The 20167-nt window shown below is 50.6% G+C and overlaps 1 protein-coding gene and 1 long non-coding RNA gene across 5 annotated transcripts in view, besides 4 other annotated features; one reads left to right on the forward strand and one right to left on the reverse strand.

Annotated features, from left to right (window-relative positions):
* The window catches only part of ST3GAL2 (ST3 beta-galactoside alpha-2,3-sialyltransferase 2), a 63124-nt gene that overhangs the window by 31437 nt on the left and 11520 nt on the right, over positions 1-20167 (reverse strand). The window lies entirely within an intron of this gene.
* Positions 9557-9746: an enhancer, noted in NCBI's record as "active region_11057". NCBI's record gives its function as "activates an Ori minimal core promoter by ATAC-STARR-seq in GM12878 lymphoblastoid cells {active_cell/tissue: GM12878}" and the evidence as "EXISTENCE:reporter gene assay evidence [ECO:0000049][PMID:35858748]".
* LOC124903707 (uncharacterized) lies at positions 10000-19497 on the forward strand. Of its 4 annotated transcripts, none has more exons than XR_007065102.1 (3): positions 10000-12880; positions 13323-13452; positions 19460-19497. It is a non-coding gene; the product is annotated as an uncharacterized LOC124903707 (long non-coding RNA). The 4 variants fall into 4 exon arrangements; XR_007065100.1 differs by having other exon boundaries at positions 10000-12510; XR_007065101.1 differs by having other exon boundaries at positions 10000-10270; positions 12359-13452.
* Positions 12088-12207: an enhancer, noted in NCBI's record as "active region_11058". NCBI's record gives its function as "activates an Ori minimal core promoter by ATAC-STARR-seq in GM12878 lymphoblastoid cells {active_cell/tissue: GM12878}" and the evidence as "EXISTENCE:reporter gene assay evidence [ECO:0000049][PMID:35858748]".
* Positions 14160-14209: an enhancer, noted in NCBI's record as "active region_11059". NCBI's record gives its function as "activates an Ori minimal core promoter by ATAC-STARR-seq in GM12878 lymphoblastoid cells {active_cell/tissue: GM12878}" and the evidence as "EXISTENCE:reporter gene assay evidence [ECO:0000049][PMID:35858748]".
* Positions 17337-18162: an enhancer, noted in NCBI's record as "H3K27ac hESC enhancer chr16:70458653-70459478 (GRCh37/hg19 assembly coordinates)". NCBI's record gives its function as "activates a minimal SCP1, AML or CMV promoter by ChIP-STARR-seq in primed H9 embryonic stem cells {active_cell/tissue: H9 hESC(primed)}" and the evidence as "EXISTENCE:reporter gene assay evidence [ECO:0000049][PMID:30033119]".

Consider the following 20167-nt stretch of genomic DNA (forward strand, 5'->3'; position numbering starts at 1 on the left):
TACAGGTGTGAGCCACTGTGCCAATACTACAGTCTTCTAAGAAGTTTGTGGTCACAAATTTGGCAAATTTGGGGAGACCATTTATCAATAAATGTCCCCTGAATGGCTGGTCCATGTCCAAGTTGCTGAGGCTGTCCAGAGGAACTGGCAGCCAGGATCCAGAGGTCAGGGGCAGCAAGGGCCTTGAAGACCCCGCCTTCCATCCTCAGGAGATGCAGCCGAAGGGCTACTTCCACCTCCCAGTACAAGGAACCTCAAAGGAGACCCTCACCAGCACGCAGGTAAATGGAAGGAAAAAACAAAAGCACCTGATTGAGGAGCAAAGCAAAGAGTGCCCCAAAACGAGAACAGCAGGGACTGTTTTGGAGGCTGTAGCAGCTTTAGAGCCAATTCTCGGTCAGATCCCAGGAGACAGCCATCAACGACTTAACCTAATGAAGCACAGGATAAGCACCACCTCAGACCAGCACAGCTGAATACAACCTTCTTGGCATGCAGAGAAAAGAAACGTCAAAATAAGGCACGGAGCCTGGGGGGATGGGTGCTGCTTGCCTCTGGGAGGGAGAGGAGAAAGACGAAAGATAAAGCCCCTCTCCACCCACTTACACACAGCCTGAGGACGTGTCCCAAAGCTCATTCTAAAGGCATGAAGCCACAGCCTACTGCTCCAATGGACCGATGCTTTATGAACCTCTGAGCATTTTCGGGGGATAGCCTCTCATTTAGTATGCGCAGGAGTCCCAGGACCAGCTGAACAAGGTCAGCCAGGCGGAAGTGAAGATGCTTTAACGCCATGCCAGGTCTGATGACTTCAAGCCCAGAGCTCCTTCCACAGCCCCCACTGCCTTCCCAAAGCACTCTTCCACTAACTGGGGTACAACCATCAAAACATTCGCTGTGCCCCAGATCCCTGCCAGCCTAGCAACCCAGAACACTCCCTGCCTCCTGGGTGGGGGGCAGCACCCAAACCAGGCAGAAGGAGCTGGGGCGGAGGGGTGGGGGTGGGCGCAGGTGGCCAGTTACCGAAAGCCCCTCCCTCCCCAACAACTCAAAAGCAGCGAGGCCTGTCCTTGACCTGTCTGAGAATGGGCCGCTTCACCACCCTGCTTGGTTAACTGAAGTCACCCGCACTGCAACACCCTGGTATCAGCCTCTGGCACAGACCCCTCAGTGCTACCCTAGGGACTCAGGCCCTTTCCACTCCGCAGCACCAAACCCTCGGGCAGCCCCTCCCTTCCTGCAGGACATCCAACTTTGACTTTATATCCATCTGAAATCTCAGCTCTGGTACCTCTTGATGCCGCCCAGAGTTTGTAGCCAGAAACCCAGAAGGCAAGAGCTAACACACTTCTTCAAACCAAGAGCATAACTTTGGCTTTCAATGAAGTCCTAGAGAAATAAACTGTCAGTCTTCTCTGGACAAAGATCGAGGCTGCACCCTAACAGCCTCTTCCTGTAGGAGACAGCTCAAAGAAACAAAAAAAAAAAAAAAAAAAAAAAAAAAAAAAAAAAAAGAAAGAAAAAATAAAGAAACGGCCTCTAAGAGGAGGAAGCTGGGCCCTGAGGCACGGGGAGAGGGTGCGGCAGGGGAGTTGGGGTGAAGGGTCCCTTCAGATCCACCACCTGCTACCTCAGGAGGGAGCCCCACTGTGTTTTGAGTCGGAGTGGGCAGGGGGAAATCCAGTATCTTGCTGTACCTATCTACACTAAGGCATGAAGTAACGTCTAGAAAAACAGTTCTCGGCTGGTTGTGGTGGCTCACACCTATAATCCCAGCACTTTGGGAGACTGAGGCTGGATGATCGCTTCAGTCCAGGGGTTGGAGCCTGGGCAACAGAGTGAGACCTCATCTCTATTTTATGAAAAAAGTTCAAACCACCTGTGTGGGGAAGACCAGGTCTCTCCACATTCTAGCTAGCTTCCCGCCTCTGGCGGCTTTTTTTTTTTGAGACGGAGTTTTGCTCTTATTGCCCAGACTGGAGTACAATGGCGTGATCTTGGCTCACCGCAACCTCCACTTCCCAGGTTCAAGCAATTTTCCTGCCTCGGTCTCCTGAGTAGCTGGGATTACAGGCATGCGCCACCATGCCTGGCTAATTTTGTATTTTTAGTCGAGATGGGGTTTAACCGTGTTGGCCAGGCTGGTCTCGAACTCCCAGCCTCAGGTGTTCCGCCCACCTCCGCCTCCCAAAGTGTTGGGATTACAGGTGTCAGCCACTGCGCCCAGGCTTTTTCCCCCTTTTTGAGACAGGATCTCACTCTGCTGCCCAGACTGGAATGCCGGTGGCGCAATCACAGTTGACTGTAGACTCGACCACCTGGGCTCAAATGATCCTACCTCAGGCCCCCGAGTAGCTAGGACCATAGGCATACGCCACCAGACCTGGCTAAATTTTTTTTTTTTTTTTTTTTTTCATAAAGACAGGGTCTTGCTATGTTCCCCAGGCTGGACTTGAACTCTCAGACTCCTGCCTCAGCCTCCCAAGTAGCTGGGACTACAGGTGTGCACTACTTTTGTTGTTTTTTTTGTTGTTGTAGAGATGATGTCTTGCTATGTTGCCCAGGCTGATCTCCAACTCCTGTTCTCAAATGATCCTCCCAACGTGGCCTCCCAAAGAGCTGAGATTGCAGATATGAGCCACCTTGCTCAGTCCTCAGACTTCTTTGCTTTTTATTTCACCTGATGCTGTTGTTGTTTTCAAATAGATGAGTTTAATCCATTTCACTTGGAGTTATGTTACTATCTTATTCAGTATTTTGTCTACTATTTTTTCTGTATTTTTTTTCTTTTCCTGACTTGGGTTGACATATTATCTCCACCCTCACCTTTTTTTTTTTTTTTTTTTTTTTTTTTTGAGACGGAGTCTCACCCTGTCACCCAGGCTGGAGTGCAGTGGCTTGATCTCGGCTCACTGCAAGCTCTGCCTCCCAGGTTTATGCCATTCTCCTGCCTCAGCCTCCCCCGTAGCTGGGACCACAGGTGCCCACCACCATGCCCGGCTAATTTTTTTTTGTATTTTTAGTAGAGACAGGGCTTCACCATGTTAGCCAGGATGGTCTTGATCTCCTGACCTCGTGATCTGCCTGCGTCGGCCTCCCAAAGTGCTGGGATTACAGGCGAGAGCCAACACGCCCGGCCAACCCTCACCACTTTTTTTCCCCCTCCTGGTCTGGAAATTATATTACTTTTTTTTTAGTGATTAATCTTATATTGTTAGCTTATGTACATTTTCTTGATGAAGTCTTCAGTTTTTCAGTAATGCCATTCTCTTAACAAGGCAGAAATTTGGTGTGGCTTAACAATAAAATTCTCTATTCTTATTCTTCCTTGGTAATGTGGTCAACAATTCTAGTTTTCTCTTAAAAAAAAAAATTAAAAGCCCATTTAGATCCTGTTTTTTTTTTTTTTTTTTGTCTCTGTGTTTTGCCGTCTGTAGCAGACACTGTTGGCTGTCTACCAGCGGCCACTCTCTTTTTCGCTTGCCAACAGAATCCTGATTTGTTTGGGCAGCTAAGGACCCAGTCCTGGCAGATGATGCAAGACTGGCCAAAGCCAACCAGCGCCAACCACAGCAAGCCTGTCCCTTTTTCACCAGGAATTGGTTTGAGGATGGACCAGCTCAGGTCAATGAGACCCAAGGGAGTATGTGTTAGGGCCATCTTGGAAAGATTTTCCTTTCCAAATAAGCAGCCGGGCGCAGTGGCTCACAACTGTAATCCCAGCGCTTTGGGAGACTGAGGCAGGCAGATCACCTGAGGTCAGGAGTTCGAGACCAGCCTGGGCAACATGGTGAAACCCCATCTCTACTAAAAATACAAAAATTAGCTGGGCGTGGGGTCAAGTGCTTGTATTTCCAGCTACTCAGGAGGCTAAGGCACAAGAATCACTTGAACCCACGAGGTGGAAGTTGAAGTGGGCGGAGCGGAGATCACACCTTCCAGCCTGGATGACAGTGATTGCAATAAAAAATAAAAAAAAAAAAAGCAGCAGCAGCACATGAAGAAAAAGCTTCCTTTCTCCTAGGATCTCTGTGCCTTCCTGCCTGGGATGTTACAGGGTGATGATATAATGTCTGGAGCTATGGCAGCCATCTCACGACCATGAGAGACATCTTGCACCCTCGTATGGCAGAGTAGAAAGATCGAGGGTCCTTCATGTTCCTATGTGACCTACTGCCCCAACCCTGGAACTACTGACCTCCACACTTCTTGTTATAAACTAATCCAGTGTTTTCCAGTTTAAGTCATTGTGGGTTACTCTGCTACTTGCATCCTAATATATTGTTAATAGTTAATTCAGGCCAGGCACGGTGGCTCACACCTGTAATCCCAGCACTTCAGGAGGCTGAGGCAGGCGGATCACCTGAGGTTGGGAGTTCGAGAGCAGCCTGACCAACATGGAGAAACCCCGTCTCTACTGAAAATACAAAATTAGCTGGGTGTGGTGGCGGATGTCTGTAATCCCAGCTACTCAGGAGGGTGAGGTGGGAGAATCGCTTGAACCCGGGAGGCAGAGGTTGCGGTGAGCCGAGATCACCCCATTGCACTCCAGCCTGGGCAACAAGAGCGAAACTCCGTCTCAAAAAAAAAAAAAAATAGTTAATTCAATTTACCAACATAATGCATCCACTTCTGTGCTCACTGTTGGCACCAACAACCTGCTCTTTCTTCAGGGGTTTACTTTTCTTCTTACTGAAGTACATCTGTAACCATTCTTTCAGCAAAGGTCTGTAGGTGATAAAACTGTCTTAGCCTGTCCAAAAATACCTTTATTTTACCTCATTCTTGAATGATAGCTGGCTATGGAATTCCAGGTTGACAAGGAGCTTCTCTAAGACATTCTTCTGTTGTTTTCTGGCATCCAATGTTGATAAGATATTATTTGTGATCTAATTGTCAATTCTTTGAATTCTTTCTTACCTCCAGTAGTTTTTAACTCTCTTGGTCTGGTCAGGTATGGCAGCTCATGCCTGTAATCCCAGCACTTTGGGAGACCACGGTGGGCAGGTTGCTTGAGCCCAGGAGTTTGAGACCAACCTGGGCAACACGACAACACCCTATCTCTACAAAAAATACAAAAATTAGCCGGGCGTGGTGGCATGTTTCTGTAGGCCCAGCTACTCAGGAGGCTGAGGTGGGAGGATCACCTGAGCCTGGCAGGTCAAGGCCACAGTGAACCGTGATTACGCCACTGCCGCCCAACCTGGCCTCAAAAAGCAAAATAAAGTTATATTATTATCTGCAGTTTGGCTGTATTATATCTAGTGACATATTATTTATCCTGTTTGATGTTCATGCTGTTTTTTCGAATCTGAAATTTCAAGCCATTATCTCTTTAAATATTATTTCTAGGCTGGGCATGGTGGCTCATACCTGTAATCCCAGCATTTTTGGAGGCCTAAGCAGGCGGATCACTTGAGCTCAGGAGTTCGAGACCAGCTTAGGCAACATGGCAAAACCGCGTCTCTATAATAAAAAATAAAAAAATTAAGCGTGGTAGCGCATGCCTGTGGTCCCAGAAAGTCAAGACGCTAAGGCGAAAGGTTGGCTTGAGGCTGGGCACGGTGGCACACACCTGTAATCCCAGTACTTTGGGAGGCGGAGGCAGGTGGATCAGCTGAGGTCAGGAGTTCACGACCAGCCTGGCCAACATGGTGAAACCCCGTATCTACTAATAATACAAAAAATAAGCCGGGCATGGTGGCGGATGCCTGTAATCCTAGCTACTCGGGAGGCTGAGACAGGAGACTCACTTGAACCTGGAAGGCGGAGGTTGCAGTGAGCTAAGATCGGGCCACTGCACTCCAGCCTGGGCAACAAGAGTGAAACTCTGTCTCAAAAAAAAAAAAAAAGTTAGCTGGGCATGGTGGCAAGTGCCTACAGCCCTAGCTACTCGGGAAGCTGAGGGGGCAGGATCATTTGAACCAGGGAAGTCAAGGCTGCATTGAGCCATGATCATGCCACTGCACACCAGCCTGGGCAACAGAGTGAGACTCTGTCTCTATAAAAAATAAAAAGCTGGCCGGGCGCGGTGGCTCGCGCCTATAATCCCAGCACTTTGGGAGGCCGAAGCAGCCAGATCACCTGAGGTCAGGAGTTCGAGACCAGCCTGACCAACATGGAGAAACCCGTCTCTATCAAAAATACAAAAAAAAAAAAAAAAAAAAAAAAAATTAGCCAGGCGTGGTTGCGCATGCCTGTGATCCCAGCTACTCCGGAGGCTGAGGCAGGAGAATTGCTTGAGCCCAGGAAGCGGAGGTTGCAGTGAGTAGAGATCATGCCATTGCACTCCAGCCTGGGCAACAAAAGCGAAACTCCATCTCAAAAAAGAAAATAATAAATAAATAAATAAATAAATAAATAAATAAATAAATAAAAGCTTTAGCCCCAGGAAATGGTAACAACTTTTCTCAGGCTACTGTCCAGCTGTGGATTCAAGCAATTTCCTAGCTCAATTCCATGCTCCAAATGGAACACTTTATGGCTCTGTTATCCCAAATTTCTGCTTCCAGACTCAGAGACCAGCAGGCCTGCAGCTTCAGCCTGGCTTTCTTCCTTGTGTTCTTGTCTATTTCTCATCCACAGGGATATTTATCATGTTGAGTGTGGTGGGGGGTAGAAAAGTGGAGGCGTACATGAATATATTTTTAGAATTTTATCTTTTTATGTATTACTGCTATGTGTTTAGAGTATAAATTTACAGTGCCATCCTGACTGGATGAATTGGATTTAACTATTCATACCAGGAAACTGGGCATCCCTGCCAATACTAATCTCTTGGGAACAGGTATCAAACCATCTCTAACAAGATTCATAGAACTCTAGCCAACACAATGAGGGCAGGAGACTGAGATACCCTGGGGTCAACTGAAGAAAGGCCCAATTGAAACTGCTCTCCCATTCCCACTGCCACCTTCATTCCAGTCCACAGAGGGATAGGGCAGGGCGTGCAGACATGCAAACGGGATCTTTCAGATGTGGCCTGGGCAGGCCTTCACTGACCCAGGTAACACGGGCCTTCAGTCTCTTCCACACCATTTGCCCATTTCAGTCTTTCACCTGACTAGTGAAAACTGCACACTGGCCATACAAACACCCCTGATGGAAGGCCCATCTGACTCTCTTCAAGTCCCCAGTCTGCCAGCACAGGCCCAGCCTGAAGTTCCACTGAAAATCGGAACAATTGATTCAGGAGCCAAATTCTAGTCTAGACTGTTACCAAGCAGCCAAGCAGGTTACTTTTCATTTCCAGGCCAAGATTCTGTTTGTTTATTTTTGAGATAGAGTCTCACTCTGTCATCCAGGCTGTAGTGCGGTAGTGTGATCTCAGCTCACTGCAACCTCCGCCTCCTGGGTTCAAGTGATACTCCTGACTCAGCCTCCCAAGTAGCTGGGACTACAGGCGCCTGCCACCACGCCCAGATAATTTTTCTATTATTATTTATTTATTTATTTATTTATTATTTATTTATTTTTTTGAGACGGAGTCTCACTCTGTCACCCAGGCTGGAGTGCAGTGGCACGATCTCGGCTCACTGCAAGCTCCACCTCCCGGGTTCATGCCATTCTCCTGCGTCAGCCTCCCGAGTATCTGGGACTACAGGCGTCCGCCACCAAACCTGGCTAACTTTTTGTATTTTTTAGTAGAGACGGGGTTTCACCGTGTTAGCCAGGATGGTCTCGATCTCCTTACCTCGTGATCCACCTGCCTCGGCCTCCCAAAGTGCTGGGATTACAGGCATGAGCCATCACGCCCAGCCAATTTTTCTATTATTAGCAGAGATGGGCTTTCGCCATGTTGGTCAGGCTGGTCTCAAACTCCTGACTGTTAGGGATGAGCTGCCCCAGGACCACCCCCCCGCCACAATGCAGCTGACCCTTACCGTGAATACTCTGCAGCTGCATTCCTGAACCCTTATCTAGGCACCACAGCAAGTCATCAAACTTACTAGATTACAGCCCTCCGGGCGGCACGGGGAAGGTCACAAGAAACGGATAAACCTAAGAGGGATACACCCTCTTGTAAATTCCTATTTTCACAAGATAATATATTGCAAGCCAGTCAGGAGAAGATATTCGTAAAGTTAACGGACAAACAACCCCAGGGTGTTTCTCTCTCTCTCCATCTCCCGGGTTCAAGCGATTCTCCTGCCTCAGCCTCCTGAGTAGCTGGGACTACCGGAGTGTGCCACCACACCTGGCTAACTTTTCTATTTTTAGTAGAGATGGGGTTTCACCATGTTGGCTAGGCTGGTCTCAAATTCCTGACTTCAAGTGATCTACCCACCTCGGCCTCCCAAAGTGCTAGGATTACAGGCGTTGATCCACCGTGCCCAGCTTCCAAGATTCTTTTTTTTTTTTTTTTTTTTCTTTTCTGAAACAGAGTCTCAGTCACCCAGCCTGGAGTGCAGTGGCACAATCTTGGGATCTTGGCTCACCGCAACCTCCGCCTCCCGGGTTCAAGCGATTCTCCTGCCTCAGCCTCCTGAGTAGCTGGGACTACAGGCACGCGCCACCACGCCCAGCTAATTTTTGTATTTTTAGTAGAGATGGGGTTTCACCATGTTGCCTAGGCTGGTCTTCAATTCCTGACTTCAAGTGATCCACCCACCTCGGCCTCCCAAAGTGCTGTGATTACAGGAGTGAGCCACCGAGCCCAGCTTCCAAGATTCTTTAACAATCAAAAGGAAGCAATCCTACCTCCACTCTCTTCCTCCCGGATGATCGCAGTGTTGGTTACTGCTGACCACCACTGTGATTTCCAGTTTTACCTATTTCTTTCAGCTGCTAATGTATTTCAAAAGCATGAGATGGGGTGCCCTTATTCATGCAGCGAGGTCAAGATCTTAACATAAATAGCATTCAGAGATGCCCAAACCAGGCCTCCCCAGCCTCATCTCTTATCAGACCCTATTCTCTAAGGTTTACAAACTAATTTGGATCCCAAGCCAGAACTGGCCCACATTTATTAAGATTCTACACTGAAACTAAAAAGACATGTATGTGTCTCTCACTTAAAAGAACCCTAAGAACTCTCAGGGTACAGAGACAATGCTATTTAATTCCTCATCTCTGTACCACTGTAGCGCCTAGCACTGTCCTGCATATAGGAGGCATCAATAAATGTTTGCCCAACTGAGTATCATCTCTCTACATAAGCCCAGGGCTATAAAAATCAAAAGAAATGATGGTTATAAAAAATGCTTTGAAACCATTATTATGAATTATATAAGTATGCATATGAAAGTGATAATTATATTCTGCCCCCACTTTTCCATCTCTGACATTCTAGAAGTGAGAGCTTTCTCTAACTTCTCTTGGACCACCCAGAAACATGAGACCTCAGGTACAAACCAAATTGAGCAAATCTGAGCCTGTGGGAAAGGGGTGTGCGTGTAAAGCTGAAGCAGGTGCCTGGACGACGGCAGGGACAGTGGGAGTGTGCTACTCTTAAGGGCCCAGCAACAAACACCTGGCACGGCTGCTGACCTGGAACTCCTGCAGCTCACTCCCCTAAGCACCGCAAGCTGCAGTCCTCCCAGCTGGGGCTTTCCAGATCACTCACCCGTTCACCTCGGCTCAAAGCATCTCCAGATGAACAAAGTGCGTAGAAAAACTTGGATTCACATTGTGGGTTTGCCACTTGTCAGCTATTGACCATGTAACTTCTCTCATGGTCCTGATCTGTGCAATGGGAATAGCACCCATCTCGAAGGGGTTCCATGAGGATTATATAAAGGCACACATAAAGCTCTACCTCCATGGCTATGGTCATGGGTTGGGCAGATTGAGGGTCACAGCTCTGCAGGAGCCCCATGGCATCACAAGGAAGGCACAAACCCCTCCCACACAGCACTGACTCTGGCTCCACAGCGCCCCAGCCCCACCCCACCTTCCCAGCCCCCACTTCCCACAGGAACTCTCCTCCCTGGGGCCCCACTCCCAGCAGGCACCGGCCTCCAGGAAGGTTGCGGTTTCAGGGCCAGCCCTACCTTGGTTGATCCTTGCCCCTAGACCCAGCAGAGGACGGTGCGCGTCCATCCTATGGGACACGGCCGTAACCCCTTCCCCAGCCCCCACTTTAGCACACCCTGCAGAGCAGAGGCCTGACCTGAGCTGGCTCTAAACAGCTCCCTGAGGCTGGAGGCCAGACAGCCACAAGCCAGGAGCAAGATTCTAGAATACAAAGCTATTATAATAAGGAGTTTCTCTGCAAGGCCAAAAGCCTCAGACATTAATAGAGGCAGAAGATGAGTTGCAGACCCTGAAGGTAGGAGAGAGGGGGATGAACCCAAGTCTCCAGGGGAGACTTCTGGAGGAAGTGGGAAGTGGGATGAATAAACGGTGGACCAGGGGAAGCCAGAGAGGGTCTGGAGTGTATGGGGTGGCATGGCGTGGCTGGGGGGGCGGGGGGAATGTTAGAAGTTCATCTCCCAACGCTGCCCTCTGACTGCCTCCAGGGGGCCATTAAACTGGACCACACTACCTCCCGGGGTGAAGGGACTAAGGTGCTGACAGTCCGCTCTGATTTCTTTTAAAGATAGGATTCAGAATGCCAGGTAGCTTGGCTGCTCATCACTGCTTATGATTCTGATCTTGGTCACACCGTAGATGTATAATAAGGAGCCACTGAGGAGCTGTCAGGGTCCTCTTTTTCCTTCTGTACTCGTCTGCATGTCTGGAGAATGCTTTGAATCACAAGAGAAAAACACAAGATGCGTGTGTTCTGCACAGTTATTGATCGACACCAGGCAGTGGCAGCCAGACTGGGAAGAGCCCTCACTGACCCCTTAGCCAAGCCCTTTTTCCTACGGCCTGGTGGGTCCTCTCTGGAAACAATCAGGCCAGCTTCCTGCTCTGTCAAGGAGCACAGCAATGGGGCTCCTCTGTTTTGAGGACTTCCTGCAAGCCCTCCAGCCTACCACAAAGTCAGGGCTCCTTGGCTTTGACAGCTATCCTTCCTCCAGGAGGGCTGTCCCTTCCAAAGGTATCAGGGGCAGCTGACCTCAGAGACTGGCATCCCAGGGTCCCAACTGGAGGCTTTTCCCTCTGTAAGGAGGCGGAGCTGGTGACAGGAATACTAACCACCAGCAGGGCACTACTGCTGAGGCCAGAGCTGGGGCTTCAAGGAGGAAAAGGCAGGTGCAGTCCTCCACTTACAGCCCCGCTCGGCGAGCAGGACCACGCTCCCTGCCAAACTCATCCTCATCGAAGTGGGCCCTCCTTGACCTTCACAGAACACGGGTCAGTCCACTCCTCCCCAAGCCCTGGCTTCCCCAGATACATAGATACGCTCTAGCCTGGTTGTGGAGGACCAGGTTGGGGGTGAGAGGATTAGAAGAGAACCTCTGTGCACTCTGCTGTCCTCCCTAGAAGAGGGGTGAAACGGAAGCAAAGCGGGCGATTTCTCCAGGTAATCTTCAACCCTCTCCTCCCCCACCCACGCACCTGGGGCAGGAAATCAGCTGGTGGCAACAGAGCCCCCCACACCAGAGGCTTCCTGGAACAACCCCGAGCAAGGGCACACAGCAGGAAGAGGAGACTCCAGGGCAGGGACACAAATGCTCTCCTAAAGGGCCCAACCCGGGCGAGTCGCACAAAGTGGCAGGGAGGGCAGGGCATTCCCTCCCCCTCTCCCAACTCTTGGATGTCAACATCAAGGCTGGACCATGGCGAGGGACTCTGGTCTGGGTCCTACCCTCCCCCACTGTAAGCTCCAGCAGGCTGGCCACCCTGGAAAAGGCTCAGGCCTGCTAGACCCCAGCAGGGGCTGATGGCAAGGGGCTAAGCTAGGGTGCCTGCAAGTCCCACCCATGCATACCAAAGGAAAGAGGAGATATGCTCCAGAACTTCAGGCCACAGTCTTTGCGGCCCAGAGTTGAAGGACTGGACTTAAAAATCCACCATCTATCCCCAGATCCTGTTAGGGATGTGAGAATAGGGGAGAGAATACCAGGAAAGAGGTCACAATCCAACCACGAGCACTGCAAATCCATAAGACAGGGGCCCCGGCAGCAGGGGAAGTGACTGCTTCAGTGGAAAGGAAAGCTGCAAGACAGTCTGTGGAGTCACTGCATAGGCACAAAGGCCCTCTGCAAACCAGAGGGCAGCGGCACAGTGACCTGGCTGGCATACTGAAACAGGCTCAGCCCAAAGCTCCAACACACAAGACAAGCTAAGCCCCTGAGAATGCTGTGAGAGCTTCTGGGACATGAGGCCCTGGGTGCAGCAGCCTCGGGTCTCAGAGGCTTCCCTGTCCCAGCCTGGCGGCCAGAGGTCAGAGCAGCTCGCTCGCCTCGCTAGTGCTGGCATCACACTCAAAGGTACAGGTGAAAACATGGTTCTTTCTCATCATCAGCCCCAGTCATGGACCTCGCCTCCTCCACCGGGCTGGTATGACCTCTGCCTGTAATCTTTCAGTCCTCCTGCCCAGCCAAGCTACCAAGGTGGGGTGTCCGCCAGAACCACTGGGGCCAGGCAATATGATGACAGCAACAGTCCAGGCTGCAGGTATGGAGGCCTACTTTGTACCAGGCAAATCCCTCCAAAGGGCTCCTATGTTATCAGTGGGGTAGGGACACCACAACTGACCATTTGACCCCCCCCTTCCCTTTTTTTTTTTTTTTTTTTTGAGATGAAGTTTTGCTCTTTCACCCAAGCTAGAGTGAAATGGCATGATCTCGGTTCACTGCAACCTCTGTCCCCGGGTTCAAACTTCCATCAACTAGGCCAACTTCTTATCAGTTTCTATTCTTGTGGCCCAGTGGGAGGATGGAACCAGGTGGGGAGACTTCTATAGTTTCTGCCAAGATCAAATGTTGGAGAAAGCCTTTTGTATGGCAGTTCGTGGGCTAAACTGGCCTGAGCAGCATGGCAAGAGGTAGGTCATATTACAAGGCCTACATGGAACAAGGCTGCACTCCTAAAAGGTCCAGTCACATAGGTGCCAATCACCTGGGAGACCTAGGGAAACAGGCATCCCTCCCTCCGCCACCACAGCCAAGAGCCCTGGGTAGAGAAGAGGGCAGAACAGAGATCTGACTGCAGGGTGGTCAAGTAGTCTGGAGAGGATTCCTGGTGGCATGGGTCCTACAAGACAACCTAGACAGTGGACAAGCCAGCACTAGGAGGCCAGAGAGCCTGGCGAAAGGGCCTGCAGACGTCTGCTGGCCTTGGAGGTGGTTATCTCCTGGAAGGGGAATAACAGGGCAGGGTCCGAAAGCTTTGGAAACAAACCAGTAACTTGTTCTTTGTGAGCCAGGCTGTTTTTATTCTTTGCACGCCCTATCTTTAGCTTTCTTTTGTTCTCCTTTTATATTTAGTAATGTCTTTTGGAAAGGTCAGCCTGTGGCAGCTATGCTCATGGAAACTCAAGGAAGGTGTTTGCATCCATGCTTCTACCAGAAGACTAAAAGGAAGCCATGTCCTCCCACCCAGCCCTCCAGAGTGAAGGTATAGAAATGCAGAGTAAAAGATGGAGGGAACCAGAGGTGGGCCCCTTGCTCAGCTGCTGTGTCCTCTGGACACTTCCTTTCCAACAGGGACCCTGGAAGTTCCAGCTAGGAAGAGAGGTCATTGTGAGCCCACGGCCAGCCTGGTGCCATCTGGTAACTTCCAGCACCAACCCTGCAGGTGGCTTTGGGAAGCATCGCTGTCCTGCACCCTGCTTTTCCCTGTCACTAAGGTTCAGCCCTGGGAGGTGGGCTGGGGAGGACAGTGCCTGAGAGCCCAGCACACACCTGCCTTCATGGTCCCGAGCTCCAGCTGAGCAGTCTTCCTCTTTCCTGAGGAGCCGATGACATGCTGTGACCTACTCAGGCAGGGCCCCTGGTTGCTAGGGAATCAGTTCACCACCTCTGGAAAGTGGCAATATCGCTGCTGTGAGTAGGCCCAAAGTGGGCCTTTCCCTGGCACCGCCTCTGAGCCTTATCCCCGGGGTGAGAAAAACGAAGGTTGGGGGACGCCAAGGGCCCTCCTCGGTCCCTGCTGCCCATCCTCAAGGACTGACCTGCCCTCCTGGATCTGGCCTAAGCTGAGTTATAAGCTCCCTGCCAAGACAACATCCATCGTGCCATGTACTACTGTTGTCAACTTTAGGGGGATGTGGAAAGGAAGGACGCACAGACCTTGGTCCATTACAGTGGACCCCAGGGAGCTGTCTTTGTTGTCCAGCTTTATGATACAGCTTGGGGTTACACAGGCATCGCCCACATGATGGTGCTATCAGGGACTGGGGATGTGAGGAGGTGGGGCCCAGGGCCCGCTTTCAAGCCCCACCCCTCCTTGAGACAAGGTCTTACTCCAGCCCAGGCTGGAGTGCAGTGCTAGGATCATGGCTCACTGCAGTCTTGGCCTCCTGCCTCAGCCTCAGCATCCTGAGCAGCTGGGACCACAGGTACACACAACACCGCACCTGACTTCGCTTTCAGAGTCCAAAGCCCTCATAGGGCCATTGTGAGGCTAGGGCATCCCCACCCCATATGTGGTTAACTCATGCCTATGAATTACCATTTTGTTTGTTGTTATTGTTTGTTTTTGTAAAGCTAGGATCTTGCTATGCTGCCCAGGCTGGTCTTGAACTCCTGACCCCAATCCTCCCGTCTCAGCCCCCGAAAGTGCTGGAATTACGGGCCTGAGCCACCAAGCCCAGCCTGCACTAACATTTCACAGGGAATGATGGACCAATGCTGGAGGACCTTGATTCCAGGACTGGCTGTGCTCAATAGCAGAGCAGCTGTGTGTCTTTGGGCAAATCACACCTCTCTGGGCTGCAGGTCCTCCATTTGTAAAATGAGCACGATAATGCCTACCTACTGACCTCACGCACTCCCTGCAAAGATTAAATGAGCAATGACTGTAGGCTGTGGAGTGCTGTATCTCCAAGTAACATTGACTTTCAGCCTCATAGAGAGGAAGGAAACAGGGACGAGAGGTGACACTGCAGCTAAGCCAAAGGGAACAGGTGTGTGTGACATGGGACTGGGGGACCAGTTAAAACCGGCCCCAGGCATAAACAGACAGGGTGCTCTGGGCGCTGAGCAGGAGAAGCAGACAGGTCAGTCTGGGCTGGCAGACAGTTCGGGAGAGAAATGGCTGTCAGCAAACATCTGAAGGGCAAGAGGAAAGACACAGGAGTGAGAGGCTCAGAATGCAAGAGGCATCCAGTCCCAAACTTCACTCCCGAGAACTCAGGAGCTGGTGAGCATTGCCCCAAAGCTCCCAGGCACACCAGCATTTTGCTAATACACACATAACGCCACACCCTCAGAGTCCAAAGCCCTCATAGGGGCAGCCTTGACCTCTGGCCCAGAGACCCCAGCAAAGTGACTCACCTGAGGTAAGAAGCCTGTGTAAGACTGAACTGAGGTCTCCTCTTAAGTCAGAGGCTCAAAGCCCAAAGCACGCTGCTAAGCTCTTACTACAACACTCCATTCCTGGCTTTGCCAAGCTGAGTCAAATACCTGTCCCCTCACAAACTGGAAGTGACAGAGAACTGAGTCCAAAAGAGCGCTATTTTTGTTTTTCTGTACCTGAAACTGGCACCACTGTCCTGGGCATTCTCTTCCAAAGGAGGAGACAGAGGGGGAGCACGACTCACCCCAAATCCCTCAACAGAATTGAGAAAACACAGCCACACCAGAGCCATGTCCTCATCCCAGTGCCAGCAAGAAACAGCACAGGAGGGTGGGCATTCAGGAAGCTGACGTCACTGAATGTCTCCATCTCAGACCTTTCCTAACACCAGCTATCACACAGATCTCCCCCCGGGCCATTAAGAGGAAGGGACCATTTGCCATAAAAATCAACACTTTAGGCTGGGCGCGGTGGCTCACGCCTGTAATCCCAGCACTTTGGGAGGCTGCGTCCGGAAGATCACCTGAGGTCAGGAGTTTGAATCCAGCCTGGCCAACATGGTGAAATCCCGTCTCTACTAAAAATACAAAAAATTAGCTGGGCGTGGTGGCACATGCCTGTCATCCCTGCTACTGGGGAGGCTGAGGCAGGGGAATCGCTTGAACCTGGGAGGCGGAGGCTGCAATGAGCCAAGACCAAGTTACTGCACTCCAACCTGGGTGACAGAGAAAGACTCCATCTCAAAACAAACAAACAAAAAAGTCAGTACTCCATACTGGAAAAAGCCCCCTGCCTGCAATTCAGACAACCTGGGTTCTTGCCTCAGTTCTTCTACCTCCTGGCTTGGGGATCTTGGGCAAATTTCTCAACTTCCACTTCCTGATCTGTAAATGGAATGACTCAATGATTTTTTTTTTTTTTTTTTTGAGATGGAGTTTCGCTCTTTTTGCCCAGGCTGGAGTGCAATGGTGTGATCTCGGCTCACCACAACCTCCACCTCCTGGGTTAAAGCGATTCTCCTGGCCGGGTGCAGTGGCTCACGCTTGTAATCCCAGCACTTTAGGAGGCTGAGGCGGGCAGATCACGAGGTCAGGAGACAGAGACCACAGTGAAACCCCGTCTCTACTAAAAGTACAAAAAATTAGCCGGGCGTGGTGGCAAGCGCCTGTAGTCCCAGCTACTCAGGAGGCTGAGGCGGGAAAATGGCATGAACTCGGGAGGCAGAGCTGGCAGTGAGCCAAGATCGTGCCACTGCACTCCAGCCTGGGTGACAGAGTGAGACTTCGTCTCAAAAAAACAAAACAAAACAAAACAAAAAAAGCCATTCTCCTGCCTCAGCCTCCTGAGTAGCTGGGATCACAGGCATGCGCCATGACGCCCAGCTAATTTTTTTTTTTTTGTACTTTTAGTAGAGACGGGGTTTCTCCATGTTGGTCAGACTGGTCTCGAACTCCCGACCTCAGGTGATCCACCTGCCTCGGCCTCCCAAAGTGCTGGGATTACAGGTGTGAGCCACTGCGCCCTGCCAAGTAAGTAGCTTTATAAGGTTCTTGGCTGGGCACAATGGCTAATGCCTATAATCCCAGCACTTTGGGAGGCCGAGGCAGGCGGATCACCTGAGGTTGGGAGTTCGAGACCAGCCTGACCAACATGGAGAAACCCCGTCTCTACTAAAAATACAAAATTAGCCAGGCGTGGTGGTGCATGCCTGTAATCCCAGCTACTCGGGAGGCTGAGACAGGAGAATTGCTTGAACCCGGGAGGTGGAGGTCGCGGTGAGCCGAGATTGTGCCATGGCACTCCAGCCTGGACAATAAGAGCAAAACTCTGTCTCAAAAAAATTAAATAAATAAATAAATAAATAATAAAGTTCTTGCCAATGAAATGGAAAATGGTTGCACATGGTGTAAGACTGTATCATTTGAACTTCTTTAATTACAGTGGCTAAAAATCCAATTTGAAGTGCCCTTTGATGTAAGGGAAACCTTTAACTCAGATGCCTGTGGGTATGACTGGCCACATGCAGGGAAAATGATGCCACTCTTGGTTCCCACATGATGGAAGGTGCCTGCTCGTGGCACAGGCCTCCTTCGTCTCAGCATCTCTTTTCAAGATGCCTGCTGGAGTCCTGGGTTCACTCTGATATGGAGTCTGTGTCCAAACCTGGACCAGGCACTGTGGCTGGGTGCATTTGGTGCCCTTATTGGCCAAGCCTGGGTTACAGGGCACAGAGATGGCAGCTGGGGAGAGATGGTTCCCCAAAGACCTGTTGTTAATGATAAAGATGTCTTGTATTGAGCTGGGCATGGTGATGCACGCCTGTAGTCCCCACTGCTTAGGAAGCTGAGGTGGAAGGATTGCTTGAACCCAAGAGTTCAAGTACAGCCTGGGCAACATAAAAAAAAAGTGATAGGCCAGGCGCAGCAGCTCACGTCTGTAATTCCAGCACTTTAGGAGGCCGAGGTGGACAGATCACCTGAGGTCAGGAGTTCAAGATCAGCCTGGTCACCATGGTGAAAGCCTGTCTCTGATAAAGATACAAAAATTAGCTGGGCGTGGTGATGTGCGCCTGTAGTTCCAGCTACTCAGGAGGCTGAGGCAGGAGAATTGCTTGAACCCAGGAGGCAGAGGTTGCAGTGAGCTGAGATCGTGCCACTGCACTCCAGCCTGGGTGACAGAGTGAGACTCCGTCTCAGGACAAAAAAAAAACAGTGATATATTGAGGTAGTGCCAGGTACCATTTTGACCCATGGAGACCATGCTTTGCCATAGTTCTACTGCCATTTGTTAATTTACCTTGTTAAAAATTGAACGTTAGAATGTAAAATGGTAATCCAGCTACTCGGGAAGCTGACACAGGAGAATCGCTTGAACCCGAGAGGTGGAAGCTGCAGTGAACCGAGACCGCTCCATTCACTCCAGCCTGGGTGGGTAACAAGAGCGAAACTCTGTCTCAAAAAAAAAAACTACTTACTTGACATCTGATGCAGAAGGGCTGCCCTGAACCTGCCTCTAAAATCCCTACCCTTGATAAATCGACCCAGCTCAGAGGCCCACAAGGGCAGAAGTGGTCCGGGTACTGACGTTCAGGGATTCCTGGCAGTGGCTCAATTCTGGCCAGGACTGAAGTCCTTCTCCAGCCAGGGAACTGCCCAGACGTGCGGATGGTGAGGGAGGCCCTGACTGCATGGCCTTCTGGGGTGGCCTGGAGTAAACACTGCCCACCATCAGAGTCCCCCAACCACAGGGAAGCCTCAGCAGGGGAGGGTGCCATGCCTTTTGCTGTCTAGCCATACCTTGAACCAGCTGAAGTCCTCAGGAAAAAAGAACATGACCGTCAATATAGAACGTAACAGGAAGTTAGGATCCTACGTTCCATTGCTCATCTTGCAATGCATTATGGGGGCCAAAGCCTTTTTTTTTTTTTTTTTTTTTTTTGTTTTTGAGACTGAATCTCACTCTGTCGCCCAGGCTGGAGTGCAGTGGCGCGATCTCGGCTCACTGCAACCTCCGCCTCCCAGGTTCAAGCGATTCTCCTGCCTCAGCCTCCCGAGTAGCTGGGACCACAGGTGAGGTGAATGCCACCACACCCAGCTAATTCTTTATATTTTTCGTAGACACGGGGTTTCACCAGATTGGCCAGGCTGGTCTTGAACTCCTGACCTCAGGCAATCCGCCTGCCTCGGCCTCCCAAAGTGCTGGGATTACAGGTGTGAGCCACCACACCCGGCCCTCAGAAGTGTTTTTCTTTTTTTTTTTTTGAGACAGAGTTTCACTCTTGTTGCCTAGACTGGAGTGCAATGGCGCAATCTCGGCTCACCACAACCTCTGCCTCCCGGGTTCAAGCGATTCTCCTGCCTCAGCCTCCTGAGTAGCTGGGATTACAGGCATGCACCACCATCCCGGCTAATTTTGTATTTTTAGTAGAGACGGGGTTTCTCCATGTTGGTCAGGCTGGTCTTGAACTCCCAACCTCAGGTGATCCACCCACCTCGGCCTCCCAAAGTGTTGGAATTATAGGCGTGAGCCACCGCGCCTGGCCCAAAAGTGTATTTCAACCTTTAAGAATTATCTCTGGATTTTCTCTCTTTCTTTTTTGACAAAGGGTCTCGCTCTGTCGCTCAGGCTGGAGTGCAGTGGCGCAAAAATGGTTCACTGCAGTCTTGACCTCCCAGGCTCCAGCAATCCTCCCACCTCAGCCTCCCGAGTAGCCGGGACCACAGGTATGTACCACCATTCCCAGCTACTTTTTAAAATACTTTTTACCGACATGGTCTCCCTATGTTTCCCAGGCTGGTCTCGAACTCCTGGGCTTAGGCAATCCTCTTACCTCAGCATCCCAAAGTGCTGAGATTACAGACACAAGCCACCATACCTGAGCATCTCTGGCTTTTCAAATGGTGACAGTCACGCCCCTGAACACCAGACCCATCTATCCCACTAATTTCTGGATGCTATCCTTTAGACAGTATACCTTAGTAGAGGTATCCAAAAAGTATCTCAAACTCAACTTGCCCCAAACCAAACCCATGCATAATCCAAGCCCCTCAAGCCCCTCAAACCCAGTCTTCTTTTTTTTTTTTTTTTTTGAGACTGAATCTCACTCTGTCGCCCAGGCTGGAGTGCAGTGGTGCGATCTCGGCTCACTGCAACCTCCACCTCCTGGGTTCAAGCCATTCTCCTGCCTCAGCCTCCCAAGTAGCTGGGACTACAGGCCCCCGCCACCATGCCTGGCTAATTTTTGTATTTTTAGTAGAGATGGGGTTTCACCGTGTTAGCCAGGATGGTCTCGATCTCCTGACCTCGTGATCCG

This window comes from Homo sapiens, chromosome 16, assembly GCF_000001405.40.
Source record: "Homo sapiens chromosome 16, GRCh38.p14 Primary Assembly".
Lineage (NCBI taxonomy): Eukaryota > Metazoa > Chordata > Mammalia > Primates > Hominidae > Homo > Homo sapiens.